General features: G+C 34.4%; 1 protein-coding gene across 6 annotated transcripts in view, besides 1 other annotated feature; it reads right to left on the reverse strand.

Moving 5' to 3' along the window:
- The window catches only part of TMEM26 (transmembrane protein 26), a 46,740-nt gene that overhangs the window by 11,199 nt on the left and 13,288 nt on the right, over positions 1 to 22,253 (reverse strand). For 5 of the 6 annotated variants that reach the window (NR_134507.2, NR_134508.2, NM_178505.8 and 2 more), the window contains exons 2-4: positions 18,330 to 18,408; positions 13,379 to 13,492; positions 11,086 to 11,306 (exon numbers count right to left, since the gene is read on the reverse strand). Coding sequence is in view for 4 of the 6 variants with exons in the window: in NM_178505.8 (NP_848600.2) it covers positions 11,086 to 11,306; positions 13,379 to 13,492; positions 18,330 to 18,408 (414 nt within the window). In the remaining 2 variants the exon portion in view is untranslated. Of the gene's footprint in view, positions 1 to 5,909; positions 8,491 to 11,085; positions 11,307 to 13,378; positions 13,493 to 18,329; positions 18,409 to 22,253 lie in introns of those variants that run through there. The other variant, XM_017015829.2, reaches the window with a different exon arrangement.
- Positions 15,897 to 16,097: a silencer, noted in NCBI's record as "peak956 fragment used in MPRA reporter construct". NCBI's record gives its function as "represses an SCP1 promoter by STARR-seq MPRAs in K562 erythroleukemia cells {active_cell/tissue: K562}" and the evidence as "EXISTENCE:reporter gene assay evidence [ECO:0000049][PMID:32103011]".

Here is a 22,253-nt window from a genome sequence, read left to right on the forward strand (position 1 = left end):
GTAGTGAAATGAAAAGGTCAGCAAATCCTTTCCCCAACAAACATGTATAATACTTAAAAAATTGTCAAAAATTGTCAAAAACAACGATCAGGGCTCTGAAAATCAACCAAAGTCAAACAACAAATTGGGTAACATTTATTCATGAAAAGCTGGCCAAGCTTCAGGTAAGAACAGTGGGAATCTGAAGCATTCTTACCCACAGATATTCATTCCCCTATCCCCAGCTTGGCTATTTTTTTTTAATTGTACTGAATGAAGTTAAATAGATGAGGAAAAATTTATTCAAGACTATTGCAATACAGGAGAAAGATTAAACTCAACTCTGCTAAAACAAAAAGTAGCAGAGTTTTCAAGAACTAGGAAAACTTTTCCTACTGGAAAAGTACTGGAGACTGTTAGGATGGAGGTTGGTCAATTTGATTAGGCCACTTGTGTTTGGTAATTGGCACTTTTCAAAGTTAGGATCCTACCCTCTCACAGAGGCTGGGAGACAGGGGCTCCATCTTTCTTTAAGACTGCATTTTAAACAGATGGCTCCCAGGTCCTTGAGAAAGATATTGTTGGTTTGCAAACTGGCAAGAGGCTGGGAAATTTACATTTCAAAGGGGCAGAAACAGAATTTATGATATCAAGTTTCTTAACGTAAATGCTGTATGAAAAGATAAATTAGGGACCTATAGTCAGCAAAAAAACAAAAAAACCCTGTCTAAGTTGATTCAAGTTTTGGGAATGCTAAGACCATATTGATCAGTTAAAGTGGTAATTTTACCAGTGACAGCTTTGGAGTGGAGTATGAAATCTCACACTCAGCGGTGTGGTCAATAGAAGTAACAAACTTGATTAGAAATATTTAAAAAATCTGTAGCTTGCTACTTTGAGACTGCAGTCCTAGTTGGAGTGGGTAATGAACTAACTTTAAATTTAATAGAGAGATTCTTAAAGTGAGAGCTATAGAAGGGCTAGATGAGTACTCCTGTAGGCTTGGCTGACTGAGAAACTGCAGGCATGTTCAGGGAAGGCCAAAGAGGGCCTAGTGGGAATCAAAAGCTAAGGCAGACATGAAAACATCTTGAACTCTAAATGTGCTATCCACTCCATGCACAGATCATCAAAGAGCAGAAGTCATAAGGGCTCATAGTATTTGATTCCAATCTGCCCAAGTTATTGACTGACCAAAAACTACATAGCCATAGGTGTGACCACTAAGACATCGAACTAAAAATAAAACTAGGAATTTTTAAAAAATCTGAGACATCAGTGACTACAACCCAAGGAGAGATACATTCCTCCAATTAAGAAAACAGATGCAACAAAATGAGAAGCCTCAGGTGGTGGCAGTGGTGGGGGAGGCTGAAGATAACATGGTTATAATACATTATCCAAAATGCCCAGTTCTCAACAAAGGAAGTATGTGATATATAAAAGAAAAAATCCAGGAATATCTAACTTACAATCAAGAGGAAAAACTGGTCAGTAGAAACTGTCTCTACTGAGGTCCAGATATTGGATTTAGCAGAAAAATATTTCAAAGCAACTATTATAAATAGGTTCAAAGAATGAAAGAAAACTAAGTTTGATTGGTTAAAGAAAAGTCTCATGGCAATGACTCAATAAGTGAGTAAATAAAGATACAGAAACTATGAAAATGGTTAAATAGAAACTCTAGAATTGAAAATATGCAAACTGAAGTGAAAAATTCAATAGATGAACTCTACAATTGGACTCTACATCTGGATTTGAGATGGCAGAAAAAACAATCAGTGACCTAGAAGATAGATCAATAAAAATCGAATCTGAAAGACACAGAGTAAAAAAAGATTGAAGGAAAAACAGCAGAGCTTCAGAGACCTGTGGAACACAGTCAGTCATATATATTTTTAACAGAAGACCCAGAAGAAGAAAGATAGAAAAGAGAGGAGAAAATATTTAGAGAAATAATGGATGAAAATTTTGAGGAAAAAAACATAATTTACAGGTGTAAGAAGATCAACAAAGCCCTAGAATAAGTAAAAGCAAAGATCCACACTTAGACACATCTCAGCTACTAAAAGCCAAAGAGGAAAGAAAATCTTTAAAACATCAAGAGAAAATTGAGTCATCATGTACAGAGTAACAACAAATAAGTACAGTTGACCTTCCAGCAAAGTGGGGGTTAGTTAAGGGAACTGACCTCCCCACACACAGTTGAAAATCTGTGTATAATTTTGACTTTTCCAAAACTTAACTACTAATAGTGTACTGCTGACTGGAAGTCGTATCAATAACATAAAGTCAATTAACACATATTTTGTATGTTATATGTATTACACACTTTATTTTTATAATAAAGTAAGCTAGAGAAAAGAAAATGTTATTTAGAAAATCATAAGGAAGAAAAAATGTATTTACTATTCATTAGTGGAAGTGAATCATCATAAAGGTCTGCATCCTCATTATCTTCACATTGAGTTGACTGAGAACGAGAAAGAACAGGAGAGGCTGGTTGGTCTTGCTATCTCTGGGGTGGAAGAGGTGGAAGAGGTGGAGGAGGTGAAAGGAGAGGCCAGAGAGGCAGGCACACCCAATGTAAGTTTTATTTTTTAAAAATCTGCGTATACATCGACCCACACAGTTCAAACTCATGTTATTCAAAGGTCAACTATAATGGCTAACTCTGGTCAGAAACAATGAAGGCCAGTAGACAGTGAAATTATATATTTGTATATATATGTAAAATGGTGGATCTTTGTTTTTACTTATTATATGGCTTTGTTGATCTTCTTACACCTGTAAACTATGTTTTTCCTCAAATTATATATATATGAAAAACCTGTCAACCAATAATTCTTTATATAGCAAAATTATCCTTTAAACATGAAGGCAAAATAAGAACATTTCCAGATTAAAAAAAAAAAAAACTTGGAGTATTTTTTACTACACATTTGCCTTAGGAGAAACACTAAATAAAGTCTTTCAGGTCGAAAGGAAATTACACCACATAGTAACTGAAATCCACATGGAGAAATGAAGTGCATGAAAATGATAAATGTATGGGAAATTCAAAGAACATATAAATATACAGTCATATAGATATTTTCTAATATCTTTTTAAAACCTTAAAAGATTATATAGAACAACAATTATAACACTGGATTATTTTATTTATAACATACAAAGATATAATATATGTATAAAAATAACAGCAAAAAGGAAGAGGAGGAAACAGAGTTATCAGTAACGGAGCAAGTGGGGCAACAGTGCTATGACCAAATGGAGCCATATTGTTAGGCTTTATCAGAATTAAGTTAGTTTTACCCTATAATAGAGTGTGAAATTTTAAAATGTATATTGTAACCCCTAGAGCATCCACTAATAAAATAATTCAATAAATGCATGGAGAAATTAACAAGAAATTGACTTAAAAATGCTCATATAACCACTCCCACCAAGAAAACAAAAGAGTAGAGGAGTAACACAGAAATAAAAAGGATGTGAGACATAGAGAAAAACAAATAGCAAAATGGCAGCTGTAAATCTAACCATATCAATAATTACATTAAATATTAATGGTCTAAACACAGTGTACCAGCTTGAATAGTGTCCCTTAAAATTCCATGTCTACCCAATTCTCAGATTGTGACCTTATTTAGAAATAGGGTCTTGGTAGATGTAACCAAGTTAAGATGAGGTCATATGGATTAGGGTGGGCCCTAATCCAATGACTATTGTCCTTATAAGAAAAGGAAAATTTGGAGACACAGACAGACACACTGGGGTGAATGCCATGTGAAGAAAGAGGGAGAAACTGGAGTGATATATCAACAAACAAAGGGACACCAAGAGTTGCTAGCCACCACCAGAAACTAGGAGAGAAGCATGAAGCAGATTCTTCTTCAGAGCCTCCAATAGGAACCAGCATCTTGGTTTTGGATTCCTAGCATCTGGAACTGTGAGAGAAGAAGTTTCTGTTGTTTTAAGCCACCATGTTTGTGGTATTTTGCTATAATAGCCCTAGTAAACTAATATACACTTAAATCAAAAGACAAAAACTGTACTTAACTGGGGAGGAAAATGCAAGATCCAACTATAAGCTGTTTATAAGGGACAGAATGTAGATACATATATATATATAATTTGAAAGTAAAAGAATAAAAAAAGATATCTCTATGCCAACATAAGAAAGCTGGAGTGCCTATATTTGTAGGAGACAAAATTGACTTTCAGAAAAGAAATATTACTAAAGAAAAAGTGATCATTCATGATAAAATGTTACTACATTGGAAATATGTTAACAATTCAATTTTGCACACCTACATACAGAGCCCCAAAATATATGAAGCAAAAACTGACAGTATTTAAAAGAGAAACAGACATTCCAACAATTAGAATGAAAGATTTCAGTGTTCTACTTTCAGGAATCAATAGAACAAATAGACACAAAATCAGTAAGGATACAGAAGACTTGAACAACACTATCAAGCAAGGTGATGTAACTAACATTTTATAGAACACCCCACCCAACACCAAGTAAAGACACATTCATCTCAAGTACACATGCATCTCCAGATAGGCCATATAATAGACCACAAAGTAAGTCTCCATAAATTTAAAAAAACTTAAACAATTTAAAGTAGATCCTCAGAAGAAAATAGAATTAAAGCAGAAAACAACAACAGAAAAAAGTCTAAAAGATCCCTATATATTCAGAAGTTAAACAGCCAATTTCTAAACAACCCATGTCAAAAATAATGACAGAAGAAATTGGAAAATATTTTGAACTGCATTAAGTAACAAAAAAAGACATATCAAATTTCTGGGTGCAGGCAAAGCAGTGCTTACAGGAAAATTCACACTTCAGATGTCTGTAATAGAGGAGACGAAAGGTCTCAAATATAATAGAAAATATGAAAGGTCAGCAATCAAAGTTTCCATCTGAAGAAATTAGAAAAAAAAGAAGAGAAAATTAAATCCAAAGCAAGCATAAAGGAAAAATTAAACATCAGAACAGAAACCAGTGAGGTGGAAAACAGAATAACAGTAGAGAAAATCAATAAAACCAAAGGCTGGCTATGTCTAAATATCAACAAAACCAATAAACCTGATCAAACCAAAAAAGTAAACATCAGCCTCTCCCCTCACTGCCTAAAAATACAAGATAAAAGGCAGAAATTGCTAAACTCAAGAATGAAAAAGGAGGGTACCACAACTCACTCCACAGAAATTAACACATGTATAGTGAATATTATGGACAACTTTATGACAAAAATCTACAACATAGATAAAATAGAAAAATTCCTAGAAAGGAAAATGTAATCAAAACTGATTTAAGAAGAAATAGAATATCTAAATAGACCTATAAAAAGTAATGATATTAAATTGATAATTTAAAAAATCTTCCCACAAAATAAACTTGGTCCAGATAGCTCCCTAGGTGAATTCTATAAAATATTTAAAGAAGAAATAAGACCAAACCTATGTAAAATCTTTCAGAAAATAAAGAAGGAATACTTCTTGAGGTATTTGATGAAGTCAGCATTACCAAAGACAGAAAAAGATATCATTAGAAAATAATACTACAGATCAATATGCCTCATAAGCAAATGTTAGCAAGCTGAATCCAATAACATGTAAAAAATATTACAGACTGAGCACAGTGGCTCACATCTATAATCCTATCACTTTTAGAGGCTTAGGCCGGGGGACTGAAACCAGGAGTTCAAGAGCAGACTGGGAAACATAAGGAGATCCTATCTCTACAAAAAATAAAACAAATTAGCCGGTGAGGGCCTTTGCCTCTGGTCCCACCTGCTTGGGAGGCTGAGGTGGGAAGATCACTTGAGTCCAGGAGGTCAGTGCAATGGTGATCACACTGGGTGGTGCCTAGACCCGGGCTAAAGGGCAAGACCCTGTCTCAAAAGATAAAAAAAGATTATATGTTATAATAAAGTAGAATTTATCTCAGGAAGTCAAGGTTGGTTTAATATCTGAAAATTAATTAGTGTAATCTATTGTTTTAATAGGATAAAAGACAACCAACAAGTAATTATGTCAATAAAAGCAGGAAAAGGATTTAATGAAATTTAACACCCACCAAAAAATAATTCCCAATAATCTAGAAATAAAAGAGAAATTCTTCAAACTGGTAAAGGGCATCTATACAAAACCCACAAGTAACATCATCTTTAATACAGCAAGACAGAATGCTTATCTTTTGAGATTGAAATGTCTACTCTTACTACTTCTATTTGACATTGAAAGAAGTTCTTGCCAGTGCAATAAGGCAAGAAAAATAAAGGCATACTGATTAGAAATAATCAAAACAGTCTGTTCACAAGCAGCATGATACTGTAAGGAGAAAATTTAAGGGATCAAACTAATTAGCAAGTTGAGCATGGCTGTGATAGTAGATCATCATACAGAAGTAAACTGTGTTTCTATTATAGCAATAAAAAATGTGAAAATAAAATTAAAAAAATAATTCCACTACTAAGAGCATCAAAAAGAATAAAATACGTAGGAAATAGTTAAGAAAAGCAGTACAAGCCTTGCACTCTGAAAATTACAAAACATTGCTGAGAGAAATTAAGGAACATCTAAACAAAGGATGAGATATTTTGTGTTCACAGATTGGAAAATTTAATATTGTTAAGATGACACTTCTTCCCAAATTGATCTTTAGATTCAATTTATTCTCTACCAAGAGCATAGTAAGTTATTTTTTTAATTTTTTACCCTTTTTTACAACTTGAAAAGAGAATTATAACAATTATATAAAAATGCAAAGCACCTACAATAGCTAAAACAAATTTTAAAAGAACAATTTTGGAAGACTTACAATATCCAATTTCAAAACACACTATAGCTACATAATCCTGACAGTGTGGTATTGGTATAATGACAAACAAATAAAACAATGGAACACAACAGAAAGTCCAGAGAAAAAGCTTTATATCTGTGATCCGCTGATTTTTGACAAAGATGCTAAGGCAATATAATAAAGAAAGACTCCTTTCAACAAATGGTATTGGGAAAATTAGTCCCAGCTGGAATGGGGCAGTGCCAAAAATAAAAAATAAACTTGGAACCTTACCTCCCACTGTACACAAAAATTATGTAAAAACAGATAATAGAAATAAATGTAAGAACTAAAACATTCTACAAGTGTACTAGTCCATTTTCATGCTGCTGATAAAGACATACCCAACACTGGGTAATTTATACAGGAAAAAGAGTTTAATGGACTTACAGTTCCACATGGCTGGGTAGCCCTCACAATCATGGGGGAAGGCAAGGAGGAGCAAATCACATCTTACGTGGCTGACAGCAGGCAAAGAGGGCTTGTGCAGGGAAACCTCCGTTTTTAAAACTATCAGATTTTGTGAGACTCATTCACTATCACAAGAGCAGTGCAGGAAAGACCTGCTCCCGTAACTCAGTCACCTCCCACCAGCTTCCTCCCATGACACCTGGGAATTGTGGGAGTTACAATTCAAGATGAGATTTGGGCAGGGACACAGCCAAACCATATCAATAAGAAAACAAAAGAAATTACATTTCTCATTTAGAGTTAGGAAAATAGTTCCTAGATATGACACCAAAAATGTGAAAGAACATATTGATAGATTTGAACTTCTTCAAAATTTTAAAAACACGTTTTTCAGAAGATAAACATTAAAAAATTAAAAACAAGCTGAACACAGGGAGGAAATATTTATATTTAGATATTTGATAAAGGACTTGTATCAAGGATATATAAAGAATTCTTACAACTCAATAATAAAAAGACAATCCAATAAAACATGAAGAAAAATTTAAACAGACACATCACCAAAGAAGATAGATGAATAGCTAATATTTCCATGAAAAGATGCTCAGCAACATTAGTCATTAAAGAGCTGCAAATTAATGTCCTGGTGAGATACCACTCTACATCCATCAGAAGGGTATAACAAAAAAGACTACAGGGAAAAGGATGGTTGATAAGGATGCAGAGAAAACGGAATCCTCATGCATTGCTGGTGGGAATATAAATTAATACAACTACTTTAGAAATATCTCAGCAGATTTTTTTAAAAATTAAAGCTATACTTAACATATAACCAGCCATTCCACTCTTAGGTGTCTACCAAAGAGAAATGAAAACATAGCCAGGCAAAAGTCTGTCAGTGAATCCTCTTAGCAACATCATTCTTAATATGAAAAAGCTGGAAGTTATCCACATGTACATCTACTACTGAATGGATAAACAAAATGTGGTATATGTGTTTAATGGAACACTAGCAACTAAAGAGGAGCTAAACATGAAACAACATGGATGAATCCCAGAAACATTATGTTACATAAAAAAGCCACACATAAAAGAGCACACATTTTATAATTCAAATTCCATGAAATTTCTAGGAAAGAAAAATCCACAGAGACATAAAGGATATCAGTGGTTGCCTGTTAAGAGTGAAGACTGACTGCAAACTGCCACAGGAATCTTTTTGGAGTGATGGGAATGTTCTAAACCTGGATTGTGGTTATGGATAAACAAATCTATAATTACTAAATATCATTAAACAATAGAATTACAGTTGAACTTTATGTTATTTAAACCATAACTTCACAAATCTGTTAAGAAAAAGTTGCAGAATCAGAAGCTTTACAAAGCTATGTAAATCCATAAAACTTAGGTAGATGAACTTCAATGTGAGCCAAAGGAAGGAAATTTATTTAATAAAAAATGGAATTTGACATATTAGCTAGAAAATAGGGAAGAGATTTAGACATTTTTGTGATGTAGATATCATTGTAGGCTTTCTCCTAAATCTATCAGCCTAAACTATGGAATAAAACATTAGAAAAAGTAAAATGTCATAATAATAGGCAATGCTGAGTAGACTACAATGAAGTGATCCCTTCTTCTATTAGATATAAATATCTTTTACTTATGTATTAAGATTATTCTCCATGATTATCCTCTTGAGCCTAAAAGGGAAGGCTTATGTCCCAGTTGGAAAGGATTAAGGGTCTCCTTCTTTGAAAAAATAGATATTTGCAGTGTCTATTCTTGCAGTATAGGCGAGAACCAAAACAGGAAATCAGAACATGGAAGCTAATTTTTAGGAGAGAGAAAAATTTTATATCCTTCCTAGGCTTTGACTTTGGGAGGGTTTTTGGGACAGTGGATATCTGAGTAATAGAGGCACATAGAACTTGAATGGGAATTACAGAAGGCTACTGTCACAATGTGGTAATATTAAAAATGAAAATGACTTCAACCTGAGACAATGAAAATTGAAAACAAATTTTAAAAACATTAACCAATAAAAACTATGACATAATTTATTGGGCTCCATTAAACATCAGCTTTCCTGGGATATGATACAAGTTTAAAATTATAAAAATACATATTTATAAAGCATTCAGATTAATTGGTAGGTGATAGAAGAAATTGGGAGTATTTATGGTGTCTTGAAACATTAAGTGCTCCCTAAATTCTTACTGAATTGAAACAGTCTTGATTGAGATAGGACTGTGTGTCCTTTTACTAATACTTGCTCACAATTTGTTCCCCAATCTCTGCCTAGCTCAGTGCTTGACACATATTAGATAACCAATCAGTAGTGGGTGAGTGAAAAAATGCCTTATGGTTTTCAAGATTTGGGTTTTTTCGTTCATTTGGGTTGTTTGTTTTGCTGGGCAATTCTACTTTTATTCACGAAATTATTTAATATTCAACCTTTATTGGAAAACACAGATCTATAAATTGCTCCTTGGTGTCACTTCTGGATGGGACTAACAGTCCATTAAGATAAATGAGTTAGGCATTTCTTACAATTTTATGACTGGCCCCACAAAACATATCCCTCCTTACTACCTCTTCTACTATCCTATGTTCCCTCCCAACTCCCTAAATGTTTTGCATGTGCATGTTTATTTCTATATAGGTGGAGTTAATTATCTTTCTATTGTGATGTCCCTGTCACTTTTATGTGCTCTGTCATGATTGCTTGATGTTTTTCTTGTAACAACATTGTATTCTATTTGAAAATACATTTTACAGTGTAAAGCACTGATCATACTTAAGACATTAAAACTACGGAACTAAAATCAACACTTTGAAGATAATGAATCAATTTAGATTGGATTTTTAAAAGAATATGTCAACTTAATAAGCTATAAGAAAAATTAGTATAGATGAAACAGGAAATTATCTTGTAAAGGTAGCTCATGTTTATAAATATAATTTGTGCTATAATTGGGATATTAAATTTACTTGGTAAGTTAGTGTATTTCGTTGAGCTTTATGTTTTGTTGTTTGAGAAGCACAGCATAAAGTAAACTGTAGCATTAAAAGCCAGACTCATTCCAATTTATTTTTATGGCATAGTGCAAAACAACCCAAGCTTAAAGTATATTCAGGCACTGAGACTTAAATCCCTAATGGTAAGAAAGTCGTTCCGTAAACAGATGTGATCATGGATTCTGAGTTTATTTGCTTGTGGCAAAAATAAAAGTACCAACTCAATAAGTTTTAATTTATAGGCCTCTACACCAGAAAGCCTGTGGGCACTTTGAACAAAACTGACTAAAAATAAAATTTAGTAAAATAAAACCTCATCTGCCCCATTCTCCATATACACCAGGGAATGCAAATCCCCAAATGGATAGGGAGAGACTTCTCCATGTCTTCTCTCAGTGCTCTCTTAAACTGTAGCTATGCTGTGTTCTAGGAGAGGATTTTATGATTGACTATGCTTCTGACACTTGGGAATGGAAAAGAGGAGCTGGGGATGGTCATTCCACTTCAGAAGGTTTTCAGAGAACCATGACTCTATCTAACCTGTGGTCATGAAAACATGCAGAGCTTTTCTGTTCTCTCCCACAGAGAATATTATGTGTCTCTTTCTCTAGCAGAAATCTCCTTTGTGTATTTCTTAAAAAACATAAAGACTGTGCTCGTTTCTAATACGTAAACAGCAGCAAATTCTCTGATCCTAACGTTGCATATAAAATATACTAAAAATTCTTATTCATGTGAAATACAAGTCACAGAACAAAGAGACAGGTGCATGGTCTTGACCCTGAAAACAAGGTGTTTTTGCTGCAAGGAATGCTCACCTCACATTTTGTTCTTCTAGGGTCTCACTTGTGAATTCCAGTATGTCAGCCGCTGTCCCCACAAACATAAGAAGAAGTTGAGAGAGTTGATCTCGAGTGATCCCGCCTCCAATGGGTAGAAGCCATCTTCCAATTATTAGCATTAACAGGAATGTCTGATGGAGTCCCAATGTCCAAACTTTCTCACATACTGTAGATAAGTTATTCACAAAAACTTTGGCCTGTTTAACAGAAATGTCATACAGACAGGATTATCAGCCACCACCTGAGAGAGAAATATTTTCCTCACTGTGCTTTCAATCAAGAGTTTGCTTTTGTAGAGAGTAATTTTCAGGAGTTATTCTTTACTTACTAAAGAAAGTAAAATGCCTTTCAGCTGAACACTCTGAAAAAAATAAAAAGCTAATATGGTCCTTAAGATGGGGGTGCCTATAACTAGCAAGTAATTTGAGCCTTAAACTTACGAGTGGGATTGTACCATATAGTATTTAAAGAACCAATTTTACAATGTTTTAATGTCTCATTTTATTATACTGTGTAATGAAAAATAACACATAGCAAAGTTTTATAAAATCCATATTAATATCACAAAAACTTCCTATATTTTTCTTTAATAGATTTTTAAATCTGAATGTACTAATCTTGAAATATTTTTAGCATTGTACAAATCTTCTCTTTGTTTTTTTGCTTTAAAACTCTATTATAGCTAAACATAAAAATGTAATAATGTTTATCGATTACCTAAATGTAAAGAAAGAGAATAACTGTAAAATTATTATTTTTATTCTGAGTACTTAACATACTATTCAATAATCCATAAGCCAGCAAGCAAATTTTACACTGCCATTATTCTTAGACTAAGAAAAACTTACATCCCACCAATGTATTCTGGATGACAACTTGCCCAATTACATTCTAAATAAGTCTCAAAGTATACTATTGCCCCTACAAGGACTTAGGTCTCAAGTGGATAATGATTCCAACTTATTTATGCAAGTGACTTAACTATGTTTGTGCAAAATTCATTTACCCCTCTCCATCACTTGCTGATATCAAATGCACAAGGACGGATAAAAGACAAGGCATGATGCTATCCTGATTGAATCCATACATGAAAATCAAGAATATTCCATCTGTACGCTTTCTTATATTAGTACTATGAAACTTTGCGTACATCATATTTAATTTATACAGGAAGCACATTAGTAGAGTAAAGATTAATATTTTTGATTGTCAGATGAAAAACTGAGAGAGAAACTAAGCGATTGTCCAGACTGATATAAATAAATTGTGATTGGAGCTTGAATTAGAACCCAAGGTTCATTCCATTAAACCTCACAGAACCAATAGTACATCTTATTATTGAAAATATGTTTTGGTGATAGGGGCCTTTTCCTTTTTAAATAGGTCATGGTCAGTTTGCCAAATAACAGCCTTATGAAGAAAAAGGAAGGGATTCTGTTTTGGCCAGAAATCTTCTCTATGTTATTAATAAACATCTACAAAATACATATGGTGGAGTTCCTAGATAATTCAATAAGACGAGAAAATAAAATAAAAGGTATAGGGATTGGGATGGAAGAAACAAAACTGCCTCTGTTCACAGTTGACATAATTGTCTAGGTAGAAAATCCCAAAGAACTGACAAAAAAAAAAAAAACCTCCTGAAACTAGTAAACGTTTATAGCAAGGTTGTGGGATAAAAGGTTGATATACAAAAGTTAATCTCTTTCCTATATACTAGCAAAGAATAAGTGAAATTTGAAATTAAAAACAAAACGCCACTTTTATTGGCATCCCCAAAAATGCCACGTAGGTTTATCAGTGTTAACAAACGCACCACTGTGGTGCAGGGTATTGATGGATGGGGAGGCTGTACATGAGTACAGAGTATATGGGAAATCTCTGTACCTTCCTCCCAATTTTTGCTGTAAATCTAAAATTCCTCTAAAAAATAAATCTTAAAATTATCATATCCCAATTTTTTAATTATATCATTGTTTCATAAATGTATATGTCTCTCAATGTGCACATATTATCTTCTTTATGTGTTCCTTAATGATGCAGGTTAAATATATCTATTAATATATATAAAATGTATCAATGTATATACTTATGCATATTAAATGTTTAATAATTTAAAAATATAATTATTTTGTGAATTCCTAAGCCAAACAATGGATAACTTTCTTCAGGAAAGAATTAGCTGGGAAGCATGTATAGCAGGTAATTGAGGATTATACCAAGTCCACCATTTTCTAGATCCTTTAATAAACAGTGGAAAAGCTCTCACCGTCTCAATGAGATCATCAGCTCTACTGGTTTGTTCATTGGATGTCAATGTTTGATTGAAGTCTTCTTTTCTGCTGGTATTCTGTGATGTTCCTTCAGCCTGGATACTGCAATACTAAGAATGGGGTCAGGGAAGGCAATTATGGCAAAAAATTAGCACAATATGGTAGAGATCAAAATGACTTAAATCTGTTCAAGAGATTATGAGCAGATATGCAGAGTTTATACAGCATATATATAAACATTTCCAAAAATCGGAATATAGGCCTGAGATTGAAAACCACTTTTTAATCAATATGAAAAGAATGTCAAGTATACAAATCTTATTTTTCCATAAGTCAATGAGGATGCAAATGCTCTGAGTCATTGCAGAGAGCTGTAGAATTTATAGATTGGTAACTGAGATTCCTTTCTTAAACCCTGCAAGAATTTAAAACCAAACAAATAACCAGTGACAACAATCAAACATATATGATCCTGGTCAAGGAAATTACAGTGTTTTTTTTTTTCTTTTTATACTTTCATTTTAGGTTTTGGGGGTTCACGTGCAGGTTTGTTACATGGGTAAATGGCATGTTGTTGAGGCTTGGTGTATGAAGAATTCCATCACCCAGGTAGTGAGCATAGTACCTGATAAGCAGCCTTCCAATTCACACTTCCCTCCGTCCCTCCCCTCTCAAGTAGTCTCTGGTGTCTGTTGTTCCTATCTTTGTGTCCATGTGTATTCAGTTTTTAGCTCCCACTTATAAGTGAAACATGTGGTGTCTGATTTTCTGTTCCTGTGTTAGTTTGCTTAGAATACTGGCCTCCAGCTTCATTCATGTTACTGCAAAGGACATGATTTTGCTATTTTTATGGCTGTGTAGTATTCCACAGTGTGTGTCTGTGTGTGTGTATGTGTGTGTATATAGTATTTTAAGAGTTTGTTTCTTATCCAGAAGCCTCTTTAACTAAAATATCATATTGCTTAAGTAAATAATCCAATCATTTTTAATCCTGACTGTCAAGTACTGTAACAACCTAAAAAATTATCATGTTCACCCACCAAAACATACATTTTAGTGACAGTGTAAAAGCCAATTTAGGTCTATGGAAAATTCAACAACAGACATGAAAAATGGCATTTTTCCTTTTTTGTTTCTTCATTTTGTATGAGAATTTCTCCAAGTGAATTGTGCATGATATTTATCCACCAGATGCTGGGAATCCGAGGTAAAGTAAGAAAAGGAAAAATTATGTAAGAGAAGAAAGGAGTGACACTTGAAAATGTAGCTGTACCCAATGAAAATTTTACAAACTGGTTTAAAAAAAGTTGAAGGTTTTTCAAACATCTGCAGTGCTAACATATTTTGAAACACATACACATGCTCCACCACCGCCACTACAACCACCACACATCCACGATCACACATTTGTATTTAGAGAGGACTTATTTTTTTAAAAAAAATTAAAGCTGTAAGAAGTGTATTTTTCTTAATTATTCTGGATACATCGTCGACTATTCTATAAGCTACTTGAAAAAACAGAAAAGAAAGTCTGCAAGAAGCTGTTTTTTCTACTCTCTTTCCAAACGACTAGTATTATGGTTGAAATGACAAGAATAATTAAGAAAAATGGCCATATTCCATATCTGTAGGAGCAAAAATACAGTTGTTTGCACACTTTGTGTGTGTGTATATGTGTGCAGCTAAGCCTCCAAGAAAAGATAATGAAGATAAAAATTAAATGTTTAACCAAGCAACAAATTTTCATTGCAAAGCATGTTGGTGTTTTTATTTAAGATTTATTTCAATAGGAAATATATTTTGACCACTTTGTAGGCATGAAAACAGACTATGTATTAAAAATGGCGACCTTAATATGTTTTTGACATTCTTACCACTAAAATACTTAAACATCTTGTTATTTAAGAAAATAGGCCATGCTTTAGTGCAGTAGAAGATAACTTGGAAGCAAATAGCTTCATAGTCCATATTATGGTATTAAGACTTATCTGAGTTGCTCTCCGCTCTTGTTATTCTATTTGTTATAGATTTATGAGATTTTCCTCCAACTGGCCTCTACATTGGGACTGCAGTGAACAAGTGACTTCACTCTTAAAACCTAGCCTGACTTGTATTATTTTGGGGATTATATTGTTTACATTCTGCCTCGTATAGGTGAGTTCACATAGATTATCTGGATACCAACATGCCTTTTTTTAAAAAAAGGCTGTGTCTTTTAAACTCTTATTAGCTTCAAAAATATTCCTTTGGGTCCAACAAGACTGTGACAACAAGATGACCAGAATATTTCCACTACTTTAATCTTGCCACTTCATAAATGGACCTAAGAACTAAGGTCACAATCATTGTCATAAACGTTTTGTTCCCATACATGTACACCCAACCAGATTCAGGAATGAAGGTAAGAAATTAGTTATCTAGGAGAAATGTCTCATGAAATAGGTCAGGATGTTTTCCTAATGCCAAGTCATAGGTTAGAACATATAGTATATAGAGCAAACGGAAAATGTGAAAGAAAATTAAATTACTCTTTTCTACAATGAACAACTCAGATAATTCTGATGCAAACTCCTCTAAAACACAGAACACATAGCTGAGAAGGGCAATATGGTTTAATGGACTAGACATCCATTAGGTTCTAAGCCCCAGCATTACTGTGTATTCACCGTATCAACTTAGGAAAATTACTGAACCTTTCTGAGTCTCAGGATCCTCGTCTTTAAAATAGAAATGTATGTATCATGCCTAACCTATGGAGTTGTTGGGTCCATATATGTGAAAACATTTGTGAAAGTGCAGGAGACTACCTGAAGAAAAGTGATTATTATCACTCCCAAAATGTTCTAAATGAGTAGACTAGAAGAATTGCTGTAACTCCCTTTATTCTGCCATTTCTTCTTTATTTAACTGCAATTCCAATACTTTTTTTCTCTCTTACTATTTTTCTACTTTCATTTCTGCTCAGTCTGCCCAATTCAACCTCTGGGCATTCATTTTAATTCTCAGTGTCAAAATGAGTCAAATCCATTACTACTAAAGGTTCAGTTTCTTTTGTAGTTTGAAAATTAGAGAGCTACTGCTCGGGGCTCAAAAATCTTTTTTTATTAAAAAGGGAACTTTTGGTTGCACGTTATTTGTTGTAACGGGATTTGAGCTGTATATCAATTAATTGTGCAACAAATTTATATTATAAAAGCATTTAGGGAAATGAATGGTTATTGTGTATGACAGCCATGTCATAGAATTGGATATGAAAGAAACATGAAAGAATTGATTCAAATCACTAGAGCTTATATTCATACCCTTGAAAGTAGTAAATAGTAAAGAGATTGAAACAGTCCCCTAACTCCTTCCAGTATAGTTTTAAAAAGCCATGATAACTTGAACCAAAAATATACAGTTACAAAAACACTTTTGCTACAGACATAGGGATAGCCTATATGACTTTGGTGATTTTTAGCAGATTGAAGGGAGAAAAATGTTTTATTCATCCCTACATTCTTGGTACTTGCTTGTAGAATTCTTCAAAAGTAGTCCACAGAACTAAATTCCCCTTTGTGTGCCTATAATTTGGAGCAAGCCTTTTACAGATAAGGTTATATATTGGAGGCAGATAGGGTTACATATTGGGGGCTTAACCTTGCTATAAAATGACCAACTATAACAAAGAAATCTATGTAAGTCCAAATTCTCGAAGATCTTTTCTAAAGTATTTTATCAGTGAAGTTACCAAAATATTATTAGGTCATAACTACATTTCTCTGTAACATAGTCCTGTAACCTGAACTATGAAGTCAAAGCTGGAATCAGATGGACTTTAGAAACTTGGCCTCCCCAGAGTTGTACAGGAACATCAACAGCAGTATATGACTGCACTCAACCTAGAGACTGCTTATTAGAGTTGTCTGTGTAGAAAATAGCTGTATTAAAAATTTCTGTAATAAATTAGGGACTCTTATTGGAAGCTACTTTTTCTTTGGGAGGGAGTTTCTCTCTGTTGCCAGGCTGGAGTGCAGTGGTACAATCTCGGCTCACTAAAACCTCCACCTCCGGGTTCAAGTGATTCTCCTGCCTTGGCCTCCACAGTAGCTGAAGTTACACAAGCATGCCACCACGCCCAGATAATTCTTGTATTTTCGGTAGATACAGGGTTTCACCACGTTGGCCAGGATGGTCCCCATCTCTTGACCTCGTGATCCACCCGCTTCGGCCTCCCAAAGTGCCGTGATTATAGGCATGAGCCACCACGCCTGGCCGGAAGCTACTATTTTATTTCTATGACAATGTGATCTTCTAATACATATAAGCTCACCTTCCACATGGTGGGTCCCACGACTCCTCCCCTTTAATCTTAGTTTCGGGGCTCTAGAAAAGAATTTCTATTTCACTAAGGCAGCCCGTGGGACTCCCAAAAATTAATCTCCTGTAATCTGCATAACCTGCATTTTAAAAGAGACTATTTTAAATGGCTCCTATAAGTTTAATTGCATTTATATAGCTGACTACAGATAAGGGTTTTGTTTTTGTTTTTGAAATTCCTAAAAGTGTCACTTTACAGGATGCCAGATCATTGAGGCATGCCCATTCTTAGCACAACATAGAAACTCACTGAAGCTGGAAGGGTTAAAATCAAATTTCCACACCCCCATGTAAACTCTACCATCCTGTAGGGTGGGGGACAGGGGAAGTCTTAGTAATAAGATCTCTAACACAAAATGTTAATTCACTATATAATCCTAAATCTTACATAAATGTAATTTTTTTATTGGAGTTTTTTTTTGGGGGGGCAAATCATGGATTCACTTCCTTTTGCTGATAGCCTCTTATTTATTCAATTCTTGCTAACTCCAGTACCTTAGAAAAGTGCATTCCGAAAATAAACTGGATCATACTGTGAAAGTAGCTTATTGCTGAATAGGTCAATTCCTACTTTCCAAAAAGAAGTACCTGGGTCTCATGGTGCAATTCAAGAAGCCATAATGATGGAACGATGCTAATCAGATATAAAAATATGGCTGGTGAAAACCTGTGAAAAGAGAGAAGAAAAAATAGTTTAGCTAATTTAAGCTAATTTTCCAAAAAAAAAAATTAAGAGGAAGAATGAAAAAAAAATGCACATACTCCGACCACATTGAGTCAAACCTTTTCGTATAACTTCAAAGTGTTTATTTCAATGAAGAAAAAAGCATTATGTGATTTCTGCCATATGGATTATAAAGAAACAAAGTAACTGTAAAAGGCACTAGCAGCTGTCATTCTCACTGAATTTCTAATCCAATTAATAGACATTAATTTTGATATGGTTTAATGGGACACTGCCAATTAGTTTCAGGCACAACACTGGATATTTTGTATTTAATATGTTTTACGAAAAGCAAATACAGCAGGAGTAAATCTTGAATTTATTAGACATTACAATTTCAAGATATGGCTACATTTTTCAACATTAACCTGGAACTCTGAGAGCTCAAACAATAATATGATGCTGGAACACAAAAATCAGATGATAAGGACTAGGAATGAGAGTAACCCATTGGCTTTGTGTGTGGTTTGCTAAACCTATAAAATAAAAACACCAACAACCAACGGTGTAAGCCTTTGGTATTTTTTTTAAGTTATCTATATTCACTGTTTTCTCATTCAAAATTCAGAAAGGAATCCGAAGAGTGGACTTCTGTGATCCAACACACTCAGGTTCAAATGCCAGTTTTGCCACTGACCTCTCAGTTTGTTTCTTAATCCACAAAAACGTCACTGCATCAGCCAACTCAGGCTGCTGTACAAAATACCATAGACTATGTGACTTAAACTACAGACATTAATTTTCTTGTAGCTCTGGAGGCTGGGGGTCTGAGATTAAGGAGCCAGAAGAGTGGGATTCTGGTGAGGACTCCCTTCCTGACACGTAGACAGTGCCTTCTCCATGTGTCCTCAGATATCCGTCTCTTCTTCTTCTTATAAAGCCTCCAGTTTTATTGGATTGGGACCCTACCTTTAAGACCTTATTTAACCTTAATGACCAAATTAATCTCCAAATATTGTCACATTTGGGGTTAGGACTTCAGTCTAGAACCTGGAAGGGGAGACAATTCAGCAGTTACATTTATCTCACAGGGTTTTTAATTTTACTTCCCGTAAAGCAGTGCCTGGCAGTGGTGAGCATTCAATAATAGGTAGATATTACTAGTATTATTATCGGACATGGTACAACATAAATGTGTCCTTAAAATGCTGAAATAAGAAAAATAACATACTTTCCACATTTATTTCTTCAAATTGGTCTGGGCACGGTGGCTCAGGCCTGTAATCCCAGCACTTTGGGAGGCCAAGGCAGGTGGATCACTTGAGGTTAGGAGTTTGAGACCAGCCTAACCAACACGGTGAAAACCCATCGCTACTAAAAATACAAAAAATTAACCAGGCAGAGTGGTCTGGGCCTGTAATCCCACCTATTCAGGTGGCTGAGGCAGGAGAATTGCTTGAACCCGGGAGGCAAATGTCGCAGCGAGCTGAGATCAGCTACTACACTCCAGCCTGGGCAACAGAGCAAGACTCCGTCTCAAGAAAAAACAAACAAATAAAAAAACAAATTGAACTTTATTTTAGAGGACTCTTGCTTTGCAGAACATCTCAAAGTCAAAATTATGTCACTATAATTTTATTAAAATGCTTTTAATACGCAGCAATAGTTTGAAATGACCTAGAAAATAGACATGTTAATTGCTCAACAAATAGAATTGTTCGAGATGAAATGTTACCCAAAGTATGTTATTATAATTCAGGAGAGAAAAGTGAAATGAAAAGAGAAAATTTAGAATGATTTTTTTAAAGGCTATTAACCCTTTCACTAATATATTTTTTCAATTCCTAGAGAGAGGAAGGGAGAAAGGGCAAGAGAAAGAGAGGTCTCTTAAAAAATCAATATTTAATATAGATACTCCCCCACCTTTGATTTCCTGCAAAAGCCAATTTTGAAACAAAAGGTTATGGGTCATGATATTATTAAAATCTGACTTGGAGGATGGTGAAGCTGTAGAGAGATATCAAAAGCCCATGTTTAGCATGCTCTTAGAAAAAAAAGAACAATTAACTTTTTGACCTCACATATCAAAGGAAACATCAGGAGATAATATTTCCCTTGTGAAACTGGGAAAGAAAGTGAATTCTAGGTAAGAGGGACAGTAGGAATATGCATATTTTGGTTTGGAGACATGAAATGTTGGCTGGATTGCAATTTCATTGAGTCTCTTGGGATTAATTTTGAGACTAACCCCTCCCTAACAATAATGTAACAATAATAATCTAGGGAAACCATAGCCTGAACATACAATAGCTCTTGAAAGAGGTTAAAAATAAAACAAACAATACCCTTAACATCTTCTATGCATAACATTTATTTCTATAATTGGAAAAAAGTACTATCCTGTTTCAACGTATTTCCTCTAATTGGGAAACTGGTTATATAAACAAACAAACTTCAAGATTCAAGATGTTTTGTGTTGCCTAATAGAAAATCTAAACTCCATAATCTGATATTCGAAGACTTCATTATCTGATCTTATCTCCACTTTTCCTCCCTTACCACATCCTGTCAAGCTGAGCAACTCAGTAGTTACAACTGACTGTGTATTTTAAATAAAACAAACAAAAAGCTTTGGAAAGTTCCTCTCACTTCAATCCTCTTCCTTAGATTATTTGACCTAATGAAGAAAGGGGTAAGGAAAAAGGAATCATATTGAGGGCCCAAGAATTAATTATATTCAACTCAATCCTCAGCCTTGTTTAACTAACCACGTGTCTCTGGTAAGAACAAAGTGCTCTCTGCTCTTTTAGTTTGGTTAATCTAAGGAGCGAGGTTCTGCAATGGTTTTACAGCAAATATCTCCCAAAATTATGAAAGCTTATTTTGGAATGTTCTTCTCTTGCACGTCTATCCACCAACATTCTACTTGTATTTTAAAGGCACAGCAGGAATTAATCTTAACCTGTACTTCTCTTGTGGCCCAACACATGCTGTACTGTTTTATAGTTATGTGTGTATAAGACTTCGCTTTCCTAATGCAAGCTCCATGAAGGAAGGTCCTGGGTCTTATATATTCCTTATATCTCTTTCCTCTTCCCACTCCTTCATTTTCTTTTCTCCCCAGTGGAATCACAGTGTGTTACTAAGTCTCAAATTAATGCTTACTAAGCAAATGCTTAAATATTTGAATGCCCGAATTTATGAAGGAAGGAAGGACTGAGCAAATAAAGTCAATAGAGACTACTGATATCTACAAGGAGCTTTCATTTCAAGAGGTCTGGTATCAAGTAACCTCTTCCAGCTATGAACCTTGAATTATTATATGTTAGTGAGACCCTGTATAAATTTCAGAAACTTAGAAGACCCAAATTTGAATCCTGCCTTTTCCATGCACTGATCTTTGGAAATTCACAACCTTCCCTGAAACTGAATGTCCTCATCTGTAAAATGGGGAAAATAATACCCATCTCATAGTGTAGTTATGAGGATTAAATAAGACAATGTATGCAATGAGATTGACACTTTAGGTGCTCAATAAATGTACTTGCTGCTTTGCCTAGACTCAGCTCTGAAAATGTACTCACAGCTACATACTTGTTATTTATGCTTATGAAGGACTCTTAGAGGACACCCAATTAGGAGACTGTTTCTTTATATAATTTATAATGACTTATATTTTTAAACCATGATTCTCAAAACTAAACCTATATAAGGCCGTGCACAGTGCCTCATGCCTGTAATCCCAGCACTTTGGGAGGCCAAGGCAGGCAGATCACTTGAGGTCAGGAGTTCGCGACCAGCCTGGCCAACATGGTGAACCCCCATCTCTACTAAAAATACAAAAATTA

Source organism: Homo sapiens, chromosome 10, assembly GCF_000001405.40.
Source record: "Homo sapiens chromosome 10, GRCh38.p14 Primary Assembly".
NCBI classification, from domain to species: domain Eukaryota; kingdom Metazoa; phylum Chordata; class Mammalia; order Primates; family Hominidae; genus Homo; species Homo sapiens.